General features: G+C 38.2%; 1 long non-coding RNA gene across 2 annotated transcripts, besides 1 other annotated feature; it reads left to right on the top strand.

Moving 5' to 3' along the window:
• The first annotated feature begins 2,061 nt into the window (after positions 1-2,061).
• Positions 2,062-19,248, top strand: LOC105373298 (uncharacterized). 2 transcript variants are annotated; one of them, XR_938469.2, is made up of 3 exons: positions 2,062-2,097; positions 17,950-18,024; positions 18,715-19,248. It is a non-coding gene; the product is annotated as an uncharacterized LOC105373298 (long non-coding RNA). The 2 variants fall into 2 exon arrangements; XR_938470.2 differs by lacking the exon at positions 2,062-2,097 and adding an exon at positions 16,077-16,610.
• Positions 9,052-9,181: a silencer, noted in NCBI's record as "silent region_20914". NCBI's record gives its function as "represses an Ori minimal core promoter by ATAC-STARR-seq in GM12878 lymphoblastoid cells {active_cell/tissue: GM12878}" and the evidence as "EXISTENCE:reporter gene assay evidence [ECO:0000049][PMID:35858748]".
• Positions 19,249-19,336: the final 88 nt, after the last annotated feature.

Genomic DNA, 19,336 nt, shown 5'->3' with positions numbered 1-19,336 from the left:
AGACACATGCACATGTATGTTTATTGCGGCACTATAAACAATAGCAAAGACTTGGAACCAACTCAAATGTCCAACAATGATGGACTGGATTCAGAAAATGTGGCACAAATACACCATGGAATAATATGCAGCCATAAAAAAGGATGCGTTCATGTCCTTTTAGGGACATGGATGAAGCTGGAAACCATCATTCCCAGCAAACTATCACAAGGACAGAAAACCAAACCCTCATGTTCTCACTCATAGGTGGGAATTGAACAATGAGAACACTTGGACACAGGGTGGGGAACATCACACACCGGGGCCTGTTGTGGGGTGTGGGGAAGGGGGAGGGAGAGCATTAGGAGATATACCTAATGTAAACGACGAGTTAACGGGTGCAGCACACCAACATGGCACATGTATACATATGTAACAAACCTGCACATTGTGCACATGTACCCTAGAACTTAAAGTATAATAATAAAAAAAGAATATCCTATTCTCTCACAATATGCCCTTTGTAGGGTGTTAGTATACAGTAAGTACATATTAAAAACAAACCAACCAACCTTGTTATTATTCCTCAGCTCCACAACATCATCGAACCAAGGGAATGATTACAAAGAGAGTTAATCGCAGTCTAAACATCAACTCTTTCCATTTTCTTTTAAGCATCTCAACAGTCTAATGCTTCCTAAAGTTTACAAACTATTATTTCCTATGTTAGTAAAGACACTCCACAACACTTAGTTGCTTTCATAACATAGTCCCATTTGAGTATCTTTAAATATTAAGTGAAACAAACAAGAACAAAAACACCCATGCTACACACTCACACATCAGGGCAGAATCACTCCTACTCTTCAGGCACAAGTCCAAACTCCTGCTTTCATTAAATGGGTTTGTTCGCACATGTGCACATGCATGCAGATAATCTATTCCCCTACAGAATAGAAGCAATTTCTGAAGCAGCCAGCCCCCCTTAGAGTGCCCCAGGGGATCCAGGGAGTTCAGAGCTGCACACTGCAGCTCAGGACAGCCTTGAATCCAGCCCAATCACAGTCTTGCCCAAGCAGAGCGAGCAATACAGGCCCTTCTTTCATGAAGTTTTCCGTAGCCTCCTACCCAACCCTTCTTGGCCTCAGCCCCATCTTGGGACTCTGACACTGGCAAGACAAAATGTAGCAGAAAACATGTCATGGTAATTATTTGAGAACTTGGCCCGAAGACACACATATCCCAAAGAACATGGAAAATGTAAAAATGTTCAGGGAAATTAAAGGTGTATAATGTAACAAATCAAAGATAACCAATGTTTTGATTTAAAAGTAGAAGTTTCTTATCTACAAAATGAATACATGAGTTATTAGAAAATGTATAAAAAATTCAGAATTCAAAGAAGTATAAAGTAATAAGTGAAAGTCTTGCTTTGCTGCCCACCCTCACTCCCACTGCCCAGAGAGGATCACTGATTAAAGTGCCTTATGATTCCTTCCACACATTGCCATATACATGTGTATCTGTACAAATTTTTCTTCCCACAAATGGAAGCCATGGTTAAGATCACAGACTCTAGAGCCAGACTGGCTAGGTTGGAGTTCCTTCTTTACCAATTACTGGTTGTGAGCTCTTTGGCAAGTCACCTAATCTATCTGTGCCTCAGTTTCCTCATTTATGAAAAGATAAATAATATTACTTGCTTCATAGGGCTGTTATAAGGATTAAATGAGTTGCTTATATGCCAGACACTTAAAACAGCGTTATGTGTCAGTCTAATATTTAAAGGGTCTTTATTGAGATATATTTTACATATCATAAAATTCAGCTCTTTTTTTTTTTTTTTTTTTTTTTTTTTGAGACAGAGTCGTACTCTATCACCCAGGCTGGAGTGCAGTGGTGCGATCACGGCTCACTGCAGCCTCGACCTCCAAGGCTCAGGTGATCCTCCCACCTCACCCCTCCAGTAGCTGGGACTACAGGCACGTGACACCATGCCCGGCTAATATTTTGTATTTTTTGTAGACACGGGGTTTCGCCATGTTGCCCAGGCTGGTCTCGAACTCATGGGCTCAAGGGATCTGCCCACCTTGGCCTCTCAAAGTGCAGGGATTACAGGTATGAGCCACTGTGTCCAGCCGAATTCACACCCCCCCTTTTTTTTTTTTTGTGATGGAGTCTCGCTCTGTCGCCCAGGCTGGGAGTGCAGTGGCGCGATCTCGGCACACTGCAGGCTCCGCCCCCGGGGTTCACGCCATTCTCCTGCCTCAGCCTCCCGAGTAGCCGGGACTACAGGCGCCCGCCACCTCGCCCGGCTAATTTTTTGTATTTTTAGTAGAGACGGGGTTTCACCGTGTTAGCCAGGAAGGTCTCGAGAACTCACCCCTTTTAAGTGTGCAATTCAGTGATTTTAGTGAGTGGTACAATCATCACCATAAATGAGTTTTACAACATTTTCACTCTCCTAATAAACATCCCTCTTGCTCATTTACAGTTTATCTCTGTTCACACCCCCAACCCTAGGCAAGCATTAGTTTACTTTCCATTTCCAAATATTTGTCTTTTATAGAAATTTCATGTAAATGGAATCATACAATACGTGGTTTCTTTTGCCTGGCTTCTTTCACTTTACAAAATGTTTGTGAGGTTCATCCATGACATAGCATGTGTTAGTAGTCTGTGATTTTTATTGCTGAGTACTATTCTGTTATATCGCACTTTGTCCATTTGTCAGTTGATAGACATTCAGATTGTTTCCAATATATGGCTACTACGAATAATGCTCCTGTGAACATTTCCATGCAAGTCTTTGTGTAGTCATATGTTTTAATTTTTCTTGGATAGATATCTAGGAATGAAATTGCTGGGTTGTATGGAAGTTATATGTTTAACATTTTGAGGAACTGCCAAACTGCTTTCAAAGTGGCTGTACCATTTTACAGTCCTATCAGCATTTCATGAGGGTTTCCATTCTTGCACCTTCTCACTAACATTTGTTGTTGTTTGTTTTACTTTTCATTCTCGTTCTATCGGGTACAAAATGGTATTAATTGTGGTTTTAATTTGCATTTTCCTAATGACCGATGTTGAGCATGTTGTCATGTGCTTATTAACCATTCGTAGATCTTCTTTGATGAAAAGTATGCTCGTAGCTTTTGTCCATTTTAAAATTGGGTTGTCTGCTTATTAAATTGCAAGAGTTCTTTCTGTATTCTAAATAGAAATCCTTTATTGCATATGTGTTTTGCAAATATTTTCTTCCAGTCTGTTGCTTGTCTTTTTGTTCTCTTAATAGCGTCATTTCGAAGTGTGGAAGTTTTGAATTTTCCTAAGGCTGAATTTATCAATTTTTTTCTTTGATGGATTGTGCTTTTGGTGTCATATCTAAGAAACCTTTACCTAACCTAAGGTCTTATAGATTTTATCCTATGTTTTCTTCTAAAAATCTTATTGTTTTTAGCTCTTACATTTAAGTCTACGAAAAATTCAGAATAAATTTTCCTGTATGGTGTGAGATGAAGCTCTAATATAATGTTTTTCATGCACTGATCATATATCCTGTGGCCTTGGTGCACTTCTAATAGTTTTTGTTTTGTTTTGTGGATTCCTTAGGATTTTCAATATACAAGATTATGTCATATACAAATAGAGTTATTGTACTTCTACCTTTTCAATCTGGATGATTTATATGTCTTTTTCTGGCTTAATTCTCCTGATAGAACCTCCAGTACAATGTTCAATAAAAATGGTGAGCACAGATATTCTTGTCTTGTTCTTGATTTTAGGGGTAAGTTTTCAGTTTTTTACATTTAAGTCTGATTTTAGCTGTGGGTTTTTTTGTAAATACTTTTTTTTTTTTTTTTTTTTTTTTTTTTTTTTGAGACGGAGTCTCGCTCTGTCGCCCAGGCTGGAGTGCAGTGGCGCGATCTCGGCTCACTGCAAGCTCCGCCTCCCGGGTTCACGCCATTCTTCTGCCTTAGCCTCCCGAGTAGCTGGGACTACAGGCGCCCGCCACCACGCCCGGCTAATTTTTTATATTTTTAGTAGAGACGGGGTTTCACCGTGTTAGCCAGGATGGTCTGTATCTCCTGACCTTGTGATCAGCCCGCCTCGGCCTCCCAAAGTGCTGGGATTACAGGCGTGAGCCACCGTGTAAATACATTTTATCAGGTTTAGGAAGTTCCCTTTTATTCCTAGTTTGTTGAACATTTTTATCATAAAAAGATATTGTACATTGTCAAAAGCTTTTTCTGTGTCTACTGAAATGATGATGTGGTTTTTGTCTTTTAAAATATTTTAATTGATCATTTTAGGTTTATGTTGACTGATTTTCATATGTTGACCCAACCTTGCATTCCCAGAATAAATCCCAACTGGTTATGATGTATAAATTTTTCTTTATGTTGCTGGGTTTGGCTTGCTGATATTTTGTTGAGGGTTTTTGTGCATATGTTTATAAGGGATATTGGTCTGTAGCTTTCTCATTATGTCTTTGTTTTAATTTGGCTTCAGGGTAATATTTGCCTCATAGAATGAGTTGTGAAGTGTTTTCTCACATTCCAGTTTCCGAAGAGTTTATGAAGGATTTGTATTAATTCCTGTTTAAACTTTTGATAGCATTAACCAGTGAAGCCATCTGAGCCTGTGTTTTTCTTTGTGGAAAGTTTATTGATTCCCAATTCAATCACTTGTCATAAAGCTATACAGATTTTGTATTTCTTTTTGAATTACTTTTGGTAGTTTGTGAGTTATTCTAGTAATTTGTTCATTTCATGTAGATTATCTAATTCGATTCCATGCAATTGTCGATAGTATTCCTTTATAATGTTTTTATTTCTCTAAAGTTGGTAGTGATGCCTGCTCTTTCATTTATAGTTTTAGCAATTTGAATCTTTGTTTCTTGGTCAGTCTAGCTAAAGGTTTATTACTTTTGTTGATCCTTTCAGAAAGTCAACTTGGATTTTGTTGATTTTTATTGTTTTTCTGTTTTCTAAGGTAATTAGTCTCACACTATTTTTAAAATCAGTATATTTATTAAAAGTGGTACTTATTCATTTTCCTCATATACCCTTTTTACATTATACATGTTACATGTTCTGTTTGACATTCATCTGAAAAATATAATTTATATTTGATATATTTGACGATTTCATAATTGACAATAAGAATGCTTTCTTTTTTTCCCCTCGATTTTATTTTAAGTTCCGAGGTACCTGTGCAGGATGTACAGGTTTGTTACATAGGTAAACGGGTGCCATGGTGATTTGCTGCACAGATTATCCCATCACCTAGGTATTAAGCCCAGCATGCATTAACTGTTCTTCCTGATGTTCTCCCTCCCTCCCCCAACCCCCCGACAAGCCCCAGTGTGTTGTTTCCCCCAATGTGTCAATGTGTTCTCATTGTTTAGCTCTCACTTATAAGTGAGAACATGCAGTGTTTGTTTTTCTGTTCCCACGTTAGTTTGTTGAGGATAATGGCTTCCAGCTCCATCCATGTCCCTGCAGAGGACATGATCTCATTATTATTATTATTATTATTATTATTATTGTTATTATTATTATCATCATCATTATTTTGAGACAAAGTCTCACTCTGTTGCCAGACTGGAGTGCAGTGGTGCGATCTCGGCTTACTGCAACTTCTGCCTCCGAGGTTCAAACGATTCTCTTGCCTCAGCCTCCCGAGTGTCCGGGACTACAGGTGCACACCACCACACCGGACTAATTTTTGTATTTTTAGTAGAGACGGGGTTTCACCATGTTGGCCAGGATGGTCTCCATCTCCTGACCTCGTGATCTGTCCACCTCAGCCTCCCAAAGTGCTGGGATTACAGGCATGAGCCACTGCGCCTGGCTGATCTTGTTATTTTTTTATGGCTGCATAGTATTCCATGGTGTATATGTACCACATTTTCTTTATCTAGTCTATCATTGATGGTCATTTAGGTTGATTCCATATCTTTGCTATTGTGAATAGTGCTGCAATGAACATATGCATGCATGTATCTTTATAATAGAATGATTTATATTCCTTTGGGTATATACCCAGTGATGACATTGCTGGGTCAAATTGTATTTCTTTCTGTATGTCTTTGAGGAATCACCACACTGTCTTCCACAATGGTTGAACTAATTCATACTCCCACCAACAGCATAAAAACATTCCTTTTTCTCTGCAGCTTCACCAGCCTCTGTTGTTTTTTTACTTTGTAATAATCGCCATTCTGACGAGTGTGAGATGGTATCTCATTGTGGTTTTGATTGGTTTTGATTCGCATTTCTCTAATGATTGGTGATGTTGAGCTTTTTTTTTTATGTGTTTGTTGACCTCATGTATGTCTTCTTTTGAGAAGTGTCTGTTCATGTCCTTTGCCCACTTTTTAATGGGTTTGTTTGTTTTTCTCTTGTAAATTTGTTTAAATTCCTTGTAGATACTGGATATTAGATGTTTGTCAGATGAATAGATTGCAAAAATGTTCTCCCATTCTGTAGGTTGTCAGTTTACTCTGATGATAGTTTCCTTTGCTGTGCAGAAGCTCTTTAGTTTAATTAGATCCCGTGTTTCAATTTTTGCTTTGGTTGTAATTGCTTTTTGCATTTTCATCAATAAATCTTTGCCTGTGCCTATGTCCTCAATGGTATTGCCTAGATTTTCTCCTAGGGCTTTTATAATTATGGGTTTTACATTTAAGTCTTTAATTCATCTTGGTTTTATTTCTGAGATCTCTATTCTGTTCCATTGGTCTGTGTGTCTGTTTTTATACCAGCACTATGCTGTTTTGGTTACTGTAGCCTAGTAGTATAGCTTGAAGTCAGGTAGTGTGATGCCTCCAGATTTGTTCATTTTGCTTAGGATTGTCTTGGCTATACGGGCTCTTTTCTGGTTCCATATGAAATTTAAAGTAGTTTTTTCATAGACAGTATATAGTTGAATTGTGTTTGTTTTATCCACTATGTCAATTTCTACATTTTATTGGAGAGTTTACTCCATTTAAATGTAATGTAATTACTGATTTTAAAGAAAGGACTGGCATCTGCCATTTTTCTATTTGTTTTCTGTATGTCATATCATTTTTGTACCTCTGTTTTTCCATTACTTCCTTACTTTGTGACATGTAGGCCTATTCTAATGCCCTATTTTAATTAATTTGTCATTTCTGTTACCATATATCCCTTGTGTTATTTTCTTAGTGGTTGCTCTGGGGATTACAATTATTATCTTAAAACAATCTAGGCTGGGCGGTGGCTCACGCCTGTAATCCCAGCACTTTGGGAGGTCGAGGTGGGCAGATCACCTGAGGTCAGGAGTTCAAGACCAGCCGGGCCAACATGGCAAAACCCCGTCTCTGCTGAAAATACAAAAATTAGCTGGGCTTGGTGGCGGGCGCCTGTAATCCCAGCTACTTGGGAAGCTGAGGCAGGGAGAATCGCTTGAACCCGGGAGGTGGAGGTTGCAGTGAGCCGAGATCGCGCCACTGCACTCCAGCCTGGCGACAGAGCAAGACTCCGTCTCAACAACAACAATAACAACAACAACAACAACAGCAAACCAATCTAGTTCAGATTAATAGAAATGTAATTTTAATAGTATATGGAATCATTTTCCAATATAGCTCCATTCCATCTGTTTTTTGGGGCTGTTATTGTCATAGAAATTATATATTTTATATTATTAGTCTATCAACACAATTTTACAACTATTTCTTTATGCAATTATATTTTAAATAAGGTAGGAGGAGACAAAAGTTATCAAACTACATTTATACTGTCTTTTATGTTTACCTACGTATATGCCTTTACCGGTACTATTTATTTCTTTGTGTGGATTTGAATTACTGTGTAGTTCTTTCATTTTAGACTGAAGGACTTATTTTAGTATTTCTTGTAGGTCAGATCTGCTAGTGAAAAATTCTTTCAGTTTTTGTTCATCTGGAAATGTGTTAATTCTCTTTCAGTTTTGAAGGATAGTTTTGCCAAATACAGAATTTTTAGTTGACAATTTTTTCCTTTCAGCACTTTGAGGATGCCATCCCAATGCATTCCGTCTTCCATGAAGGCAAGAAGGCATTCTGTCCTTTTTGATGAGAAGTCCACTATTAATCTCACTGAGAGACGAATTGCTTTTCTCTTGCTGCTTTAAAGAGTCTTTGTCTTTCAACAGTTTGACTATGATGTGACTGGATGTAGATATCCTTGTGTTGACCCTACTTGAAGTTTGTTGCACTTTTAGCTATGAGGAGCAAAGTTTTTCATAAAATTTGGGAAATTTCTGGCTGTTATTTCTTCAAGTATTCTTTCTATTTGTTTACGTCTCCCTCTTCTCCTTCTGGGACTTACATTGTATGTCTATTGGTATGCTTGATGGTATACTACAGGTCTCCAAAGCACCGTTCTTTTTGCTTTCTATTACTCAGACTGAATTACCTAAATTAACCTATGTTTGGGTTCTCTGATTCTTTTTCTCTGCCAGCTCAAATCTGCTATTGAACAATTTTAGTGAATCTTTCATTGCAATTACTGTATTTTGCAACTCCATAATTTCTGTAATTTCTGTTTGCATCTTTTAAACCCTTTTTTTTGTGTGTGTGAGACAGAATTTTGCTCTGTCACCCAGACTGGAGTGCAGTGGCATGATCTTGGCTCACTGCAACCTCCGCCTCCCAGGTTCAAGCGATTCTCCTGCCTCAGCCTCCCGAGTAGCTGAGATTATGGGTGTGCACCACCACACCTGGCCAATTTTTGTATTTTTAGTAGAGACAGGGTTTTACCATGTTGGCCAGGCTGGTCTCAAGTTCTTTAAAGCCCACTACAAACATTGCATTCCTTAGATCTTTCTTTTAAGTTTTTGGACAGGCCCTGGCTTGCCCAAACGTGTATAATCACCTCAGGCAGTTGTGATGTTAAACAATTGCAGCTGATTATTTTTGATAAATGCACTAAAGATAGGGCTTTTCTTGTCGAGCAAGCTCAGAGTCAGGTCACATATGAAAGCACTGTATAAATGGGGCTTTCCCAGAGAGGTATGCGACAAGTCAAACAGTAACAATGCTGTGGGATAGAAGTTTTTTGAGGAGCTCCAAACCCAGTCTGCCCCCTCTAGTGGCTGTAAAGCTGCTGTCTTTTTTTGTTTTTGATTTTTTTGTTTGTTTTGTTTTTACAGCTCCTCTGGCTGTGAGTTGGCTGGTTTTCAAGGGAACTGTGGAGCTGGGGAGAGAAACATGGGAGTAGGCCAAGTTAAAAATGTAGTTTTCTTACATAGGTGCTGTGGTTTTTCTTGAATAAATGCTCCTCAGATTGCTTTAGACCTTGGGTTAATTTCCAGATTTGTAAAAAAAAAAAAAATAAAAAAAAAAATAAAGTTGATTTTTATAATTTTCCCAGCATTTTCATTGATTTTATGGAGGAGTGGATTTACGGAGATCCTCACTGCGCCATTCCAGAAGTCTCACCTGGTTAGCTATTATTTTATTATACAAGCCGTTCCTTACCTTGGTTTTTCCTCATTTAAAAATGCCTCTTACATTTTTTTTAATACCAGGTCATGCAGATCTAATGTAGTGTTCCAGAGTAGGGACACAACATAATTTATTTAACCATGCCCTATTATTAGACTGAGATTTTTTTTCTTTCATAATCAATGCAATTTAGGTTTTTTCCAATTTTTTTCATATCACAATCAATGCAACGAATACCCTTTGAATTATATTTTTTATATATTAAAAGTATATATATTTAGATTAGATTCCCAATTGAAGAACAGCTGGTCAAAGAGTATATGCAGTTCTAATTTTGACTGATACTGCCAAATTGCCCTCAAGATAGCTACACTAATTACACTCCTCTTACTACTATATCAAAGTGTCTTTCTTCACATACATTTACCAACACTGAAAATCTTCTTAATTTTTGCTAATTCAATAGTTCATAAAATAGTGCCTTATTCCATTAATTCACTTATTTACCTTAAGATAAGGGTATCTATTTACCTTACACATGATTTGAAAACTGCTTTGAATTGAGGCTTTGCTACAGCAAGAGGAGAGAAAAAAACGGTTTTAGATGTGGGGATCATCACAGAGCATACCCTGTTACCAACATGGTTTTTCCAGTGGTTTGTAAAAACCAGTCTGGGGATAAAGGTATCAATCAATCCCTTTTATTACCATTGTTTCATGAATTTGGGTAACTTCATACTCTCAAGACTCATGGCAATTGATGGAAGGATGAAGTTCTACACCTTGGGATTTAGCATGATGACTCAGGATATAAATGCAGCCCCCTCTTGCAAATTGCTCTGGGGCATTGGTAAACCCTGGCTGGAACTTACAGTTGCTCACAAACATTTTAGCTAGCTACTGCTAACCTTTTTCTTTCATAGTTGCAACTAGAAATAACTGCACATGCTTTGGGCTCATGAATTGTTTGTAGAGGGCAGGAGAAGGATATTGTTGTGTCCAAGTTGCTTTAACAGTATTTTATGAGGGGGATATAGAGAAGAAAATAGTGATATTTAATGTGAGGTTTAAAAAGACAGGGAAGAAATTAAAGGTCTGCACTTGAAGGCCTAATATACCTAAATGCCAAGTAAAGTTGAGAGAGAGATTTATTATGACAACCGTAAAAAGAACACCTCTTTTGTCTAGGCTGACGTCTTCAATTATGTTGTTTGTCTTTTGGGCACTAGCATGGTTTCCAAAAGCCACGACAAGTTTGTGTAATACACAGCTTGTTCTTTTATATCTTTCATATATGGCCATTCCTAGGCTATGGATATTATGCTACTTAAACCAAGCCAGTATGTAAAGGGATTGAGTGGTGAGCATGCAGGGATTGGGTGGGGAGGGCCAACATGGAGGATGAGTAGAGGTCTTACTACACAGCTGTAGGGTTGAAGAGGGAAAGCCATCTGAAGGGCCACAGAAAATGAACAGACAAAAGACAGATTAATGGGAGAAAAGGTCATATAGAATTTCTTTAACATGCATGAGAGGGTGGGGAAATCACCGAAATGTGATTACCCAATAACCTATGAGGCCCGGAGGTGTATATACCCTTCTTTATAAGGGAGGAGGAGATGGGGAACATAGGCAATTCTTTTGAGGGGTAGTAAATAATTATTAGGGAGAATGAATGAGCCTGGGAGACAAAAGTTAACTTGTAAATGATTCTTTGGAATTTGAATGAGCCTGAGAAACAGATATTTTGTGAAAAAGTCTGTCCAGGTGTGGCTGTATTCCTCAGTCTTCTTTTCTGGGATAGATAATGAAATTTCAGGGAAGAACTGGAAGGCAATTATGTTCTTTTTTGCCGGTCCTGTCTTAATTCGGATGAAGGAATAAAGCCTCTTCTAGCATCTACTGACCTTCAAGGGCCTTTAATTTAAAATAATCAACACACCAGGGTGACATATTTCAAAGTGAAATTCCCTGGGTTCTTTCATTGCTGCCATCAACTCCTTAGTGACTTCAGAAAAGTTGCTTAATGTGTCAGTTTCCAAATCTAAGTGAGGCAATGAATTTGCAGGGAACACAGAAAGCATTATAAAAGCATTGTAGCTGTTACCAGAAAGGGGTCCTGATCCAGACCCCAAGAGAGGGTTTTCGGAGCTTTCACAAGAAAGAATTTGGGGCGAGTCCACAGAGTAAAGTGAAAGCAAGTTTATTAGAGAAGTAAAGAAACAAAAGAATGGCTACTCCATAAACAGAGCAGCAGCATGAACTGCTTGACTGACTATACCTACTGTTATTTCTTGATTATATGCTAAACAAGGGGTGGATTATACATGAGTTTTCCAGGGAAAGGGCAAGCAATTTCCTGAACCGAGTCCTGCCCTTTTTAGACTATATAAGGTAACTTCTGGACGTTGCCATGGCATTTGTAAACGGTCATGGTGCTGCTGGAAATGTCTCTTAGCATGCTAATGCATTATAATTAATTTATAATGAGCAATGAGGACGACGAGAGGTCACTTTTGTTGCCATCTTGGTTTTGGTGGGTTTTGGCCGGCTTCTTCACTGCATCCTGTTTTATCAGCAGGATACCAGTCCTGCCGACCTCCTATCTCATCTTGTGACAAAGACTACCTAACCTCCTGAGAATGCAGCCCTGTAGGTCTCAGTCATATTTTACCCATCCCCTATTCAAGATGGAGTTATTCTGGTTTGAATGCCTCTGAAATAGTGGATATTGCTGTGATCACACACTATTCAGGGAAACGGAACTTGATCAAGTAAGCCACTGATAAAGGACTACATTTTAAAACCTTTTTTCTACTCAATAATTTTGTACCTCAGTGGGTAAAGTCAAAATATAATCACAAAGAAAAGAAGGCTCGTATTTTCCCATTGAAATGTATATAGTTAGTATAGAGAATGGTTAGGTACATGAGCTCTGGAGCAGACCTGCTTGCCTTCTATATCTTGGCTCTGCTACTTAACAGGGTGTGTAATCTTGGGCAATGTCTCCGTTTCTTTATCTGTAAAATAGGAATAATAATAATTCTACCTCATTCATAGGATTGCTATAAGGATTACATTAATATAAGAAAAGCACTTAGTACTGGGCAAATAGTAAGCATTCAGTAAGTGTTAGCTTTTATTATTACTATTAATTAAAAATACTTTCCTTCACTCAAACACCAAACAGGAGTCAGTAAGACAGGTGGAGGCAGAGAGCTGGCACCTATGAGAGCAAGGAAACCAAAGGCTTTCCTCCAGTCCCGCCAGAGAGATCATAGTTCTGAAGATGGTGTTGCTGACATACTAGTTTGTAATTATTCTGACCACACTATTAGGGTGTTACTGGAAAGGGGTCCTGATCTAGACCCCAAGAGAGTTCTTGGATCTCGCACAATAAATAATTTGAGACGAGTCTGTCAGAGGAGTGTGAACCAGAGCAACTCCATCTTGAATAGGAGCTGGGTAAAATGAGGCTGAAACCTACTGGGCTGCATTCCCAGACAGTTAAAGCATTCTAAGTCACAGGATGAGATAGGAGGTCAACACAAAATACAGGTCATAAAGACTTTGTTGATAAAACAGGTTGCAGTAAAGGAGCCGACCAAAACCCACCAAAACCAAAATGGCGACGCGAGTGACCTCTGGTCGTCCTTACTGCTACGCTACCACCAGCACCACGACAGTTTACAAATGCCATGGCAATGTCAGGATCTATCCTATATGGTCTAATAAGGGGAGGCATGAATAATCCACCCCTTGTTTAACATATCATCAAGAAATAACCATAAAAATGGGCAACCAGCCACCCTTGGGGCTCCTCTGTCCATGGAGTAGCCATTCTTTTATTCCTTTACTTTCTCAATAAACTTGCTTTCACTTTGCACTGCAGACTCGCCTGGATTCTTTCTTGCACAAGATCCAATAATCTTCCCTTGGGATCTGGATTAGGACCCCTTTCCTGTAACGAATCCATAGAGAAAAGTGAAAGCAAGTTTAATAAAGTAAAGGAATAAAGAATGGCTACTCCATAGGCAGAGCAGCCTCAAGGGCTACTGGTTGCCCATTTTTATGGTTATTTCATGATTATGTGCTAAACAAGAGGTGGATTATTCATGTCTCCCCTTTTAGGCCATATAGGGTAACTTCCTGATGTTGCCATGGCATTTGTAAACTGTCATGGCACTGGTGAGAGTGTAGCAGTGAGGAAGACCAGAGTTCACGCTCGTCGCCATCTTGGTGTTGGTGGGTTTTGGCTGGCTTCTTTACTGCAAACTGTTTTATCAGCAAGGTCTTCATGACCTGTATCTTGTGCCGACCACCTGTCTCATCCTGTGGCTAAGAATGCCTTAACTTATTGGGAATGCCCCCCAGCAGGTCTTAGCCTTATTTTACACAGTCCCTATTCAAGATGGAGTTCCTGTGGTTCAGGCACATCTGACAAGGGTGTTTTGCAAAATCTATGTTTTGCAAAATCTATCAATGTTATTCAAAATGTATTCCTTGGGCCACTTGCACCAGAATCACCAGGGGAGGGAGGAATTGATAAACTGCAAATTCCAGAGCTTCATCCCAAAGCTGCAGAATCAGAATTTCCGTACCTCAGATCTAAGTCTGTGTATTTTTCACAGGCAACCCAGGAGCTTCTGATAACAGACTAAAATTTGAGAACCACTGGACCATTGTGTTTGGTCAGAACACATTAAGCAACTAGTAACACATTGACAATGATATCAAATGGTACTAGTATATGAATCTGTATTCACCTTGATCCTGGGGCTGCTCTGACTACACTTGCCTCTGCTCTCAGGCTAAAGAATAATCTTTTCTTGTAATTTTTGAACTCAGTTGGCAAGAAATCCTATTTCTGGGCACAGTAAACAATTTTTGAATTCCTATTTCCATAAGGTTTTCATAAAGTAAAATTTTGATGCTAGTTGTAGCTCTTGATTTTACCAGTAGAGAGCACAGTCAGTCTATTGATGTTAAGCTTTGTATAACAAAGAAGTCTGTGATGGTCTTTTTTCTCTTTGATATGGAAATCTTATCCTTCTGGTTGGATAATTAGAGACAAGGGCTACTTCTGCGTGGGGTAGGAATGTGACCCTTGGGGTGGGATTACTCATTTTTCAAAGATGACATAGAATGAAACCCATCTAAAACTTCTATAACTGAAAAATATGGTCTCCTAGACATGTCACTCCATGAAATGAAATAGAGCACTTCTTTCATGAGTAACCTGCACTCCAATTGAACACGTTGGAACAGGGTGTGAAATGTACAGAAATGTGTAAGAAAAATTGTGAGATGTTGAATTACTCTGTTTTTGAAAACAACGTGCTTTGGAATGTGGAATTAGACACCTGGAGGGAAATACTTGCATGCCTGATAAAAGATAGATTTCAATTTTCTGCAGTTTGAGGTGTTTTTTTCTCAGCTCCAGCAGACTGCTTAATTATCATCTAAAAGGAAACTGGATGGGCAATAGTTTGGAGGCTTTGGGGAAAAGCTGAAACATGGATTAGCTTTCCCTTACCTTCCCTCAAGTCCCCAAAGTCAAAATATCTGCGACCATGATAATAATACCCTCAAATGAAAGAAAACTTTTCTCAGTGTTTTCTGTACAACTTCTCATAAGCTTAAAGTGAAGGACCAGTTGATTAATAAAATGTAGACACTGGGTAAAGAAGGTTTAGCATAAAAATAATTTGATCGAATATCAAGACAAATAAAATTTCTGTGAAGCAATCTCTCAGTACTTAAAGTGGGCTTCATTCTTAAGATGCCTAAATGTAATATTGGGTCAAAACACTGGGGAATGTTGGTTAATATTTATTGAGTGCTCAGAATGAATGTGTTGTAGGGAATCAGTCTGTGTTCATTGGCCTGAAAACTGTGAACAAGTTTCAAACTAATATTTTTTTTCTTTATTTTTTCTCTGGTGGCCTAAATTGTCATTGTAGTTTCTCTGAATATAAAAGTTTACGCTCTTGGGATTGGTCTATAAATTGGTTACAGCCTTTTATTATCTCCAAAGCCATATTCATTGCCATGACTGATGGGATCCACTGATAGTGCAAAAAATCAAGATTTAGAAAAATAAGTGTGGATTATTGTCTACTCAAAAGAAAAGGGAAATTTCCCTGGGTGACAGTAAAATAGAACTTGTTTTTACTGGCCTAAGATTCTCACATCTGCTTAGTGTATGATGTGTCATGAAACTTACTCTGTTCTGCTAGAGACATTTTGATTCCCCATAATGTAGAACTTGAACTTTCTCTAGTCAATTTAAGTCTGTCAAATCAAAATCCCTTTGATGAATAATATTCATTTTACAAAGGTCTTACTCCAAAAACTAACGAGGATTTTTGAAAAGAAAAACCTGTCATACTTTTTTTCAAAATGGTGCTCTATTTTGATTCGAGAGCAAGAGCTATAGTTATTAGAAAGATTTTTTTCTTTCCTTTTTCCAACCAGCCCTACATCTCCTAGTACCACTTTTCCCTCTTGGTTGGTAAAAATGAAAAACAAAAATCTTGCAAAAGATAATAAATGGAATTGTTTGCCTTGTGATATAATATCTTTGGGTATTATCTGCAGACTGTAGCAACTCCGTACCATTATATCAACCCAGAAGTGTGGGGTCTGTCTGCAGCAAAATTGTGATGTAAGCAAAATTGGTTTTGGCTCCCTCCCCACCCTTAGCCTTTTGACCTGTAGTGTCTTGATTTTACAGAGTCCTCTAGATGCTTTCCTTTAACCTATCCTTTATTTATTTTTCAAGTAGGGTTTTTAGTTCTCTTTATTTATGCTCTCATTCTTCAGAGAAAATGTTCATCTCATCGATTGGTTTGTGATCGTATGAGAATGGGCCTTAATTTGTTAATGTTTTATCACTTTCCGAGTAATATATTTACATTTAACGAGAATTTGAGGGACAGCAACTTAATACAAAAGGCATTAACTTTTTAATAGTAGGGATCCTAGATCCTGTGACAAGTTACTAGATGTTGCCAAGATTGCCAATTACCTCCTCCAGCATGTCTTCTCGCCTTCTTCCTCAGTGACAGAATCTTGATTTCATTTGAAGTGATAATGCACCCAGAACAAAGAATGCTACCAGTCTCCTTTGAAGCTATGTTTGGCCATATGACTAAGTTCAGGCTTATGACGTGTAAGTGGAAGTCTCCCTAAAAGTTAGGGGGTGTGCTTTTGTGGTGTCCAGCTTCTTTCTGAAGCCAATCTAGAATGTAGACACGATGGCTAGAACTAGAGTTATCCTTGACCATGAGGTGACCTTGAGGATGAAAACTACATACTGAGGATAGAAGAACAGAAAGATAGGTACATGGGTCAGTTGACTGGACAACCTAGATTATCTACTTCTACTTTGTTTAAGTTACATCATTTTAGGATTTCCTTTCATATGCAGCTGAACTTGATTTTAACAGTAAGACTAATATCTTTGGGAAATCAGGGCTTTGCAGATTTTTGAGTTGATATAACTGATAGGCTGATTCTGAGAAAACCATCACTGTTGGTTTTTGAGGGACAGAAGTTCTTGGTCTCTGAGAGCATATGAAGAATTCTTGTTCTCCTGAATCCTGAAAAGAATTCTGTCTTACACTTTCTTAATTGTTTACAAAGCACAGTTTTTATCATGCCAAGTATTTTGTAAATGCCTAGACAACAAAGAGGATAACCTATTTTCCATCTGTCATGCCATAGTTTCTAGCAGGTTTCTGGGTTCTTCATATCTTGTTGATCATGTTAGTTTAACAGTTACCCTAGATTGACATGCCCTGGTAAGAAGAAACTCTCAAAAAGAGAAGTAGTTTGGAGGAACAGGAAATATGAAAAGGTCAACCACAAACCATTCTGATTTCAGCATGATATGATTTAGCATAACCCAAACATTGAAAGCTATTATTGGGAACATGGAAGATTTACATTACGGTGGCTCACCAGATACACAAGGCTGGAACAATATTGCTGTGTAGAGATAACCCCCATCCTTAAGAACAAATTTCAGTGGACACAGTGAATTTGTGAGTTGATAGGCAACATGGATCCTTTGCAAAATAAACAAGCTCAAATCCTTGTGTTTTATTTCTAAATAGTCGCACTGCTGCTTTTTTACTCTCTACTTCAGCAGCTCAACTATGGCTGGGGCCTGTACCCTAAATCCCTTGCCCTTGGCAGGTGTCTTGCTTTTGGCTCACTGGTGACTGATATGAGTGTGAGCCTGAATTGTGTTTTAGAAAGCAACATCTCCATAAGACCAGTAGAATTACTGCTGTCAGTGGAACATTCAGAATGGCAAATGATAGCATCAGCAGAGAAGGATAAATATAAACAATATATTAATATCACTGTCAGGCAGAGGTCATCTCAGGACTATGGAGATGCTGGGTTTTTTTGTTGTTGTTAGTTTGTTTTGGTTGAGGAATTTATTGTGGCTTGCTCTATTTCCTTTGGTTCATTCTGCCTCTCTCTTTCTGAACCCCCTTTAGCAAGGACGATAGGCCTGAGTGTGAAGTTAAGAGAATGGAAGAGAAGATAGACAATGGAATGCCAATCTCAAAACAGTAAGTAGACAAGTGACTATCCAGTCATTGGGTTACAAATGCCAGAACTGAATATTGATCTAAATAAATGATCGATGTAGTCATTGGGTAAGGAGCTTTCATGCAAATTGATTAAAGATAGTAGAGGAGACTTAGGAGCAGGACTTTGGAATGCCAGGGACAGTATTTTTTGTGTATACATTTATACCTGTTTTTTAATATGGAAATACTTTTCTTTCTTGTTAGGGAACAGCATTCTGTCAGCAAAATTAAGCCCCAGAATTAAACTTCTTCAAAGAAGGAAAGCCAAAATGAAATCATTTTTAAGGGTATAAATAAAATAGATCCACGCATTTCCTGACAGCCTGAATGAGAAGGTCCATATTTATCTCAGTAAGCTTTCAGCGTTAGACTCTAGGAGCCAAAGTGACAGTTTTGGACTCAGCCAGACAGTGAGCCTTATATATAAAGACTCAAAATAGATTTCCCTTGCCCCTATTCCTGCCAAAGAGCCATTTTAGGTGTGCAGGAAGGTGCTGAGCACACTAATGCATAGTATCCTTATGCTGAGTGGGAGCAATGGATGGCTTTGCCTTACCTGACTTTTCTTGATTGGAATTTAGATCCCCAAAGAATCTGAAAGGTAATATGGTATTTCTTGTGATTTCATGGCAGATGTGCTTTTTGGCATTTTTTCTTTTTTATGCATAGAATCATTGAAAATTGAGATGAAAATGCCAAATGTCTGCATTCATATAATGGAAATAATCGAGCTGTGGACAATCATCTATGCTTTTGATCATTCTGGGATTAGAGGAATTCCTTACACTTATGGAATTCAACTGTGTCAAAAGATGAGGAATAAAAAAATGAATTTAAGTAAAATGAGAACTTGTATCCTAAATTTGAACAGAACTCAAGGCCAACTTTTTGTAATAATATTCTGACTGGGCTTTGTAACTGTGCTCTTTTACAGCCTCTTCTTTTTCTTCTGTCTTCTTCCCCGTCTTCTTTCTCATTGGCCTCAGTTAAAACACACACACACACACAACATCTAAAGGCCACATATATGCTTTAGATACGGTGCCAGGTTCTAGACAGAGCAAAATGGGAGAGGATATGGGCCATTTTCTTTTAGAACTTAACACGTTAAAATCATGTGTAATGAGTGTGTGCATTGAGTGATATACAGTCAGCTCTCCATATCCGTGGATAAAAAGCATATGGAAAAACCACTGCAAAAAATAATACAACAATAAGAAATAATACAAATAAAAAAATACAATATAACAACTATTTGCATAGCATTTACATTGTGTTAGGTATTATAAAT

Source organism: Homo sapiens, chromosome X (genome assembly GCF_000001405.40).
Source record: "Homo sapiens chromosome X, GRCh38.p14 Primary Assembly".
Lineage (NCBI taxonomy): Eukaryota > Metazoa > Chordata > Mammalia > Primates > Hominidae > Homo > Homo sapiens.
Note: the sequence above shows the minus strand (reverse complement) of the source record. Positions and strands in the feature narration are given on the sequence as shown.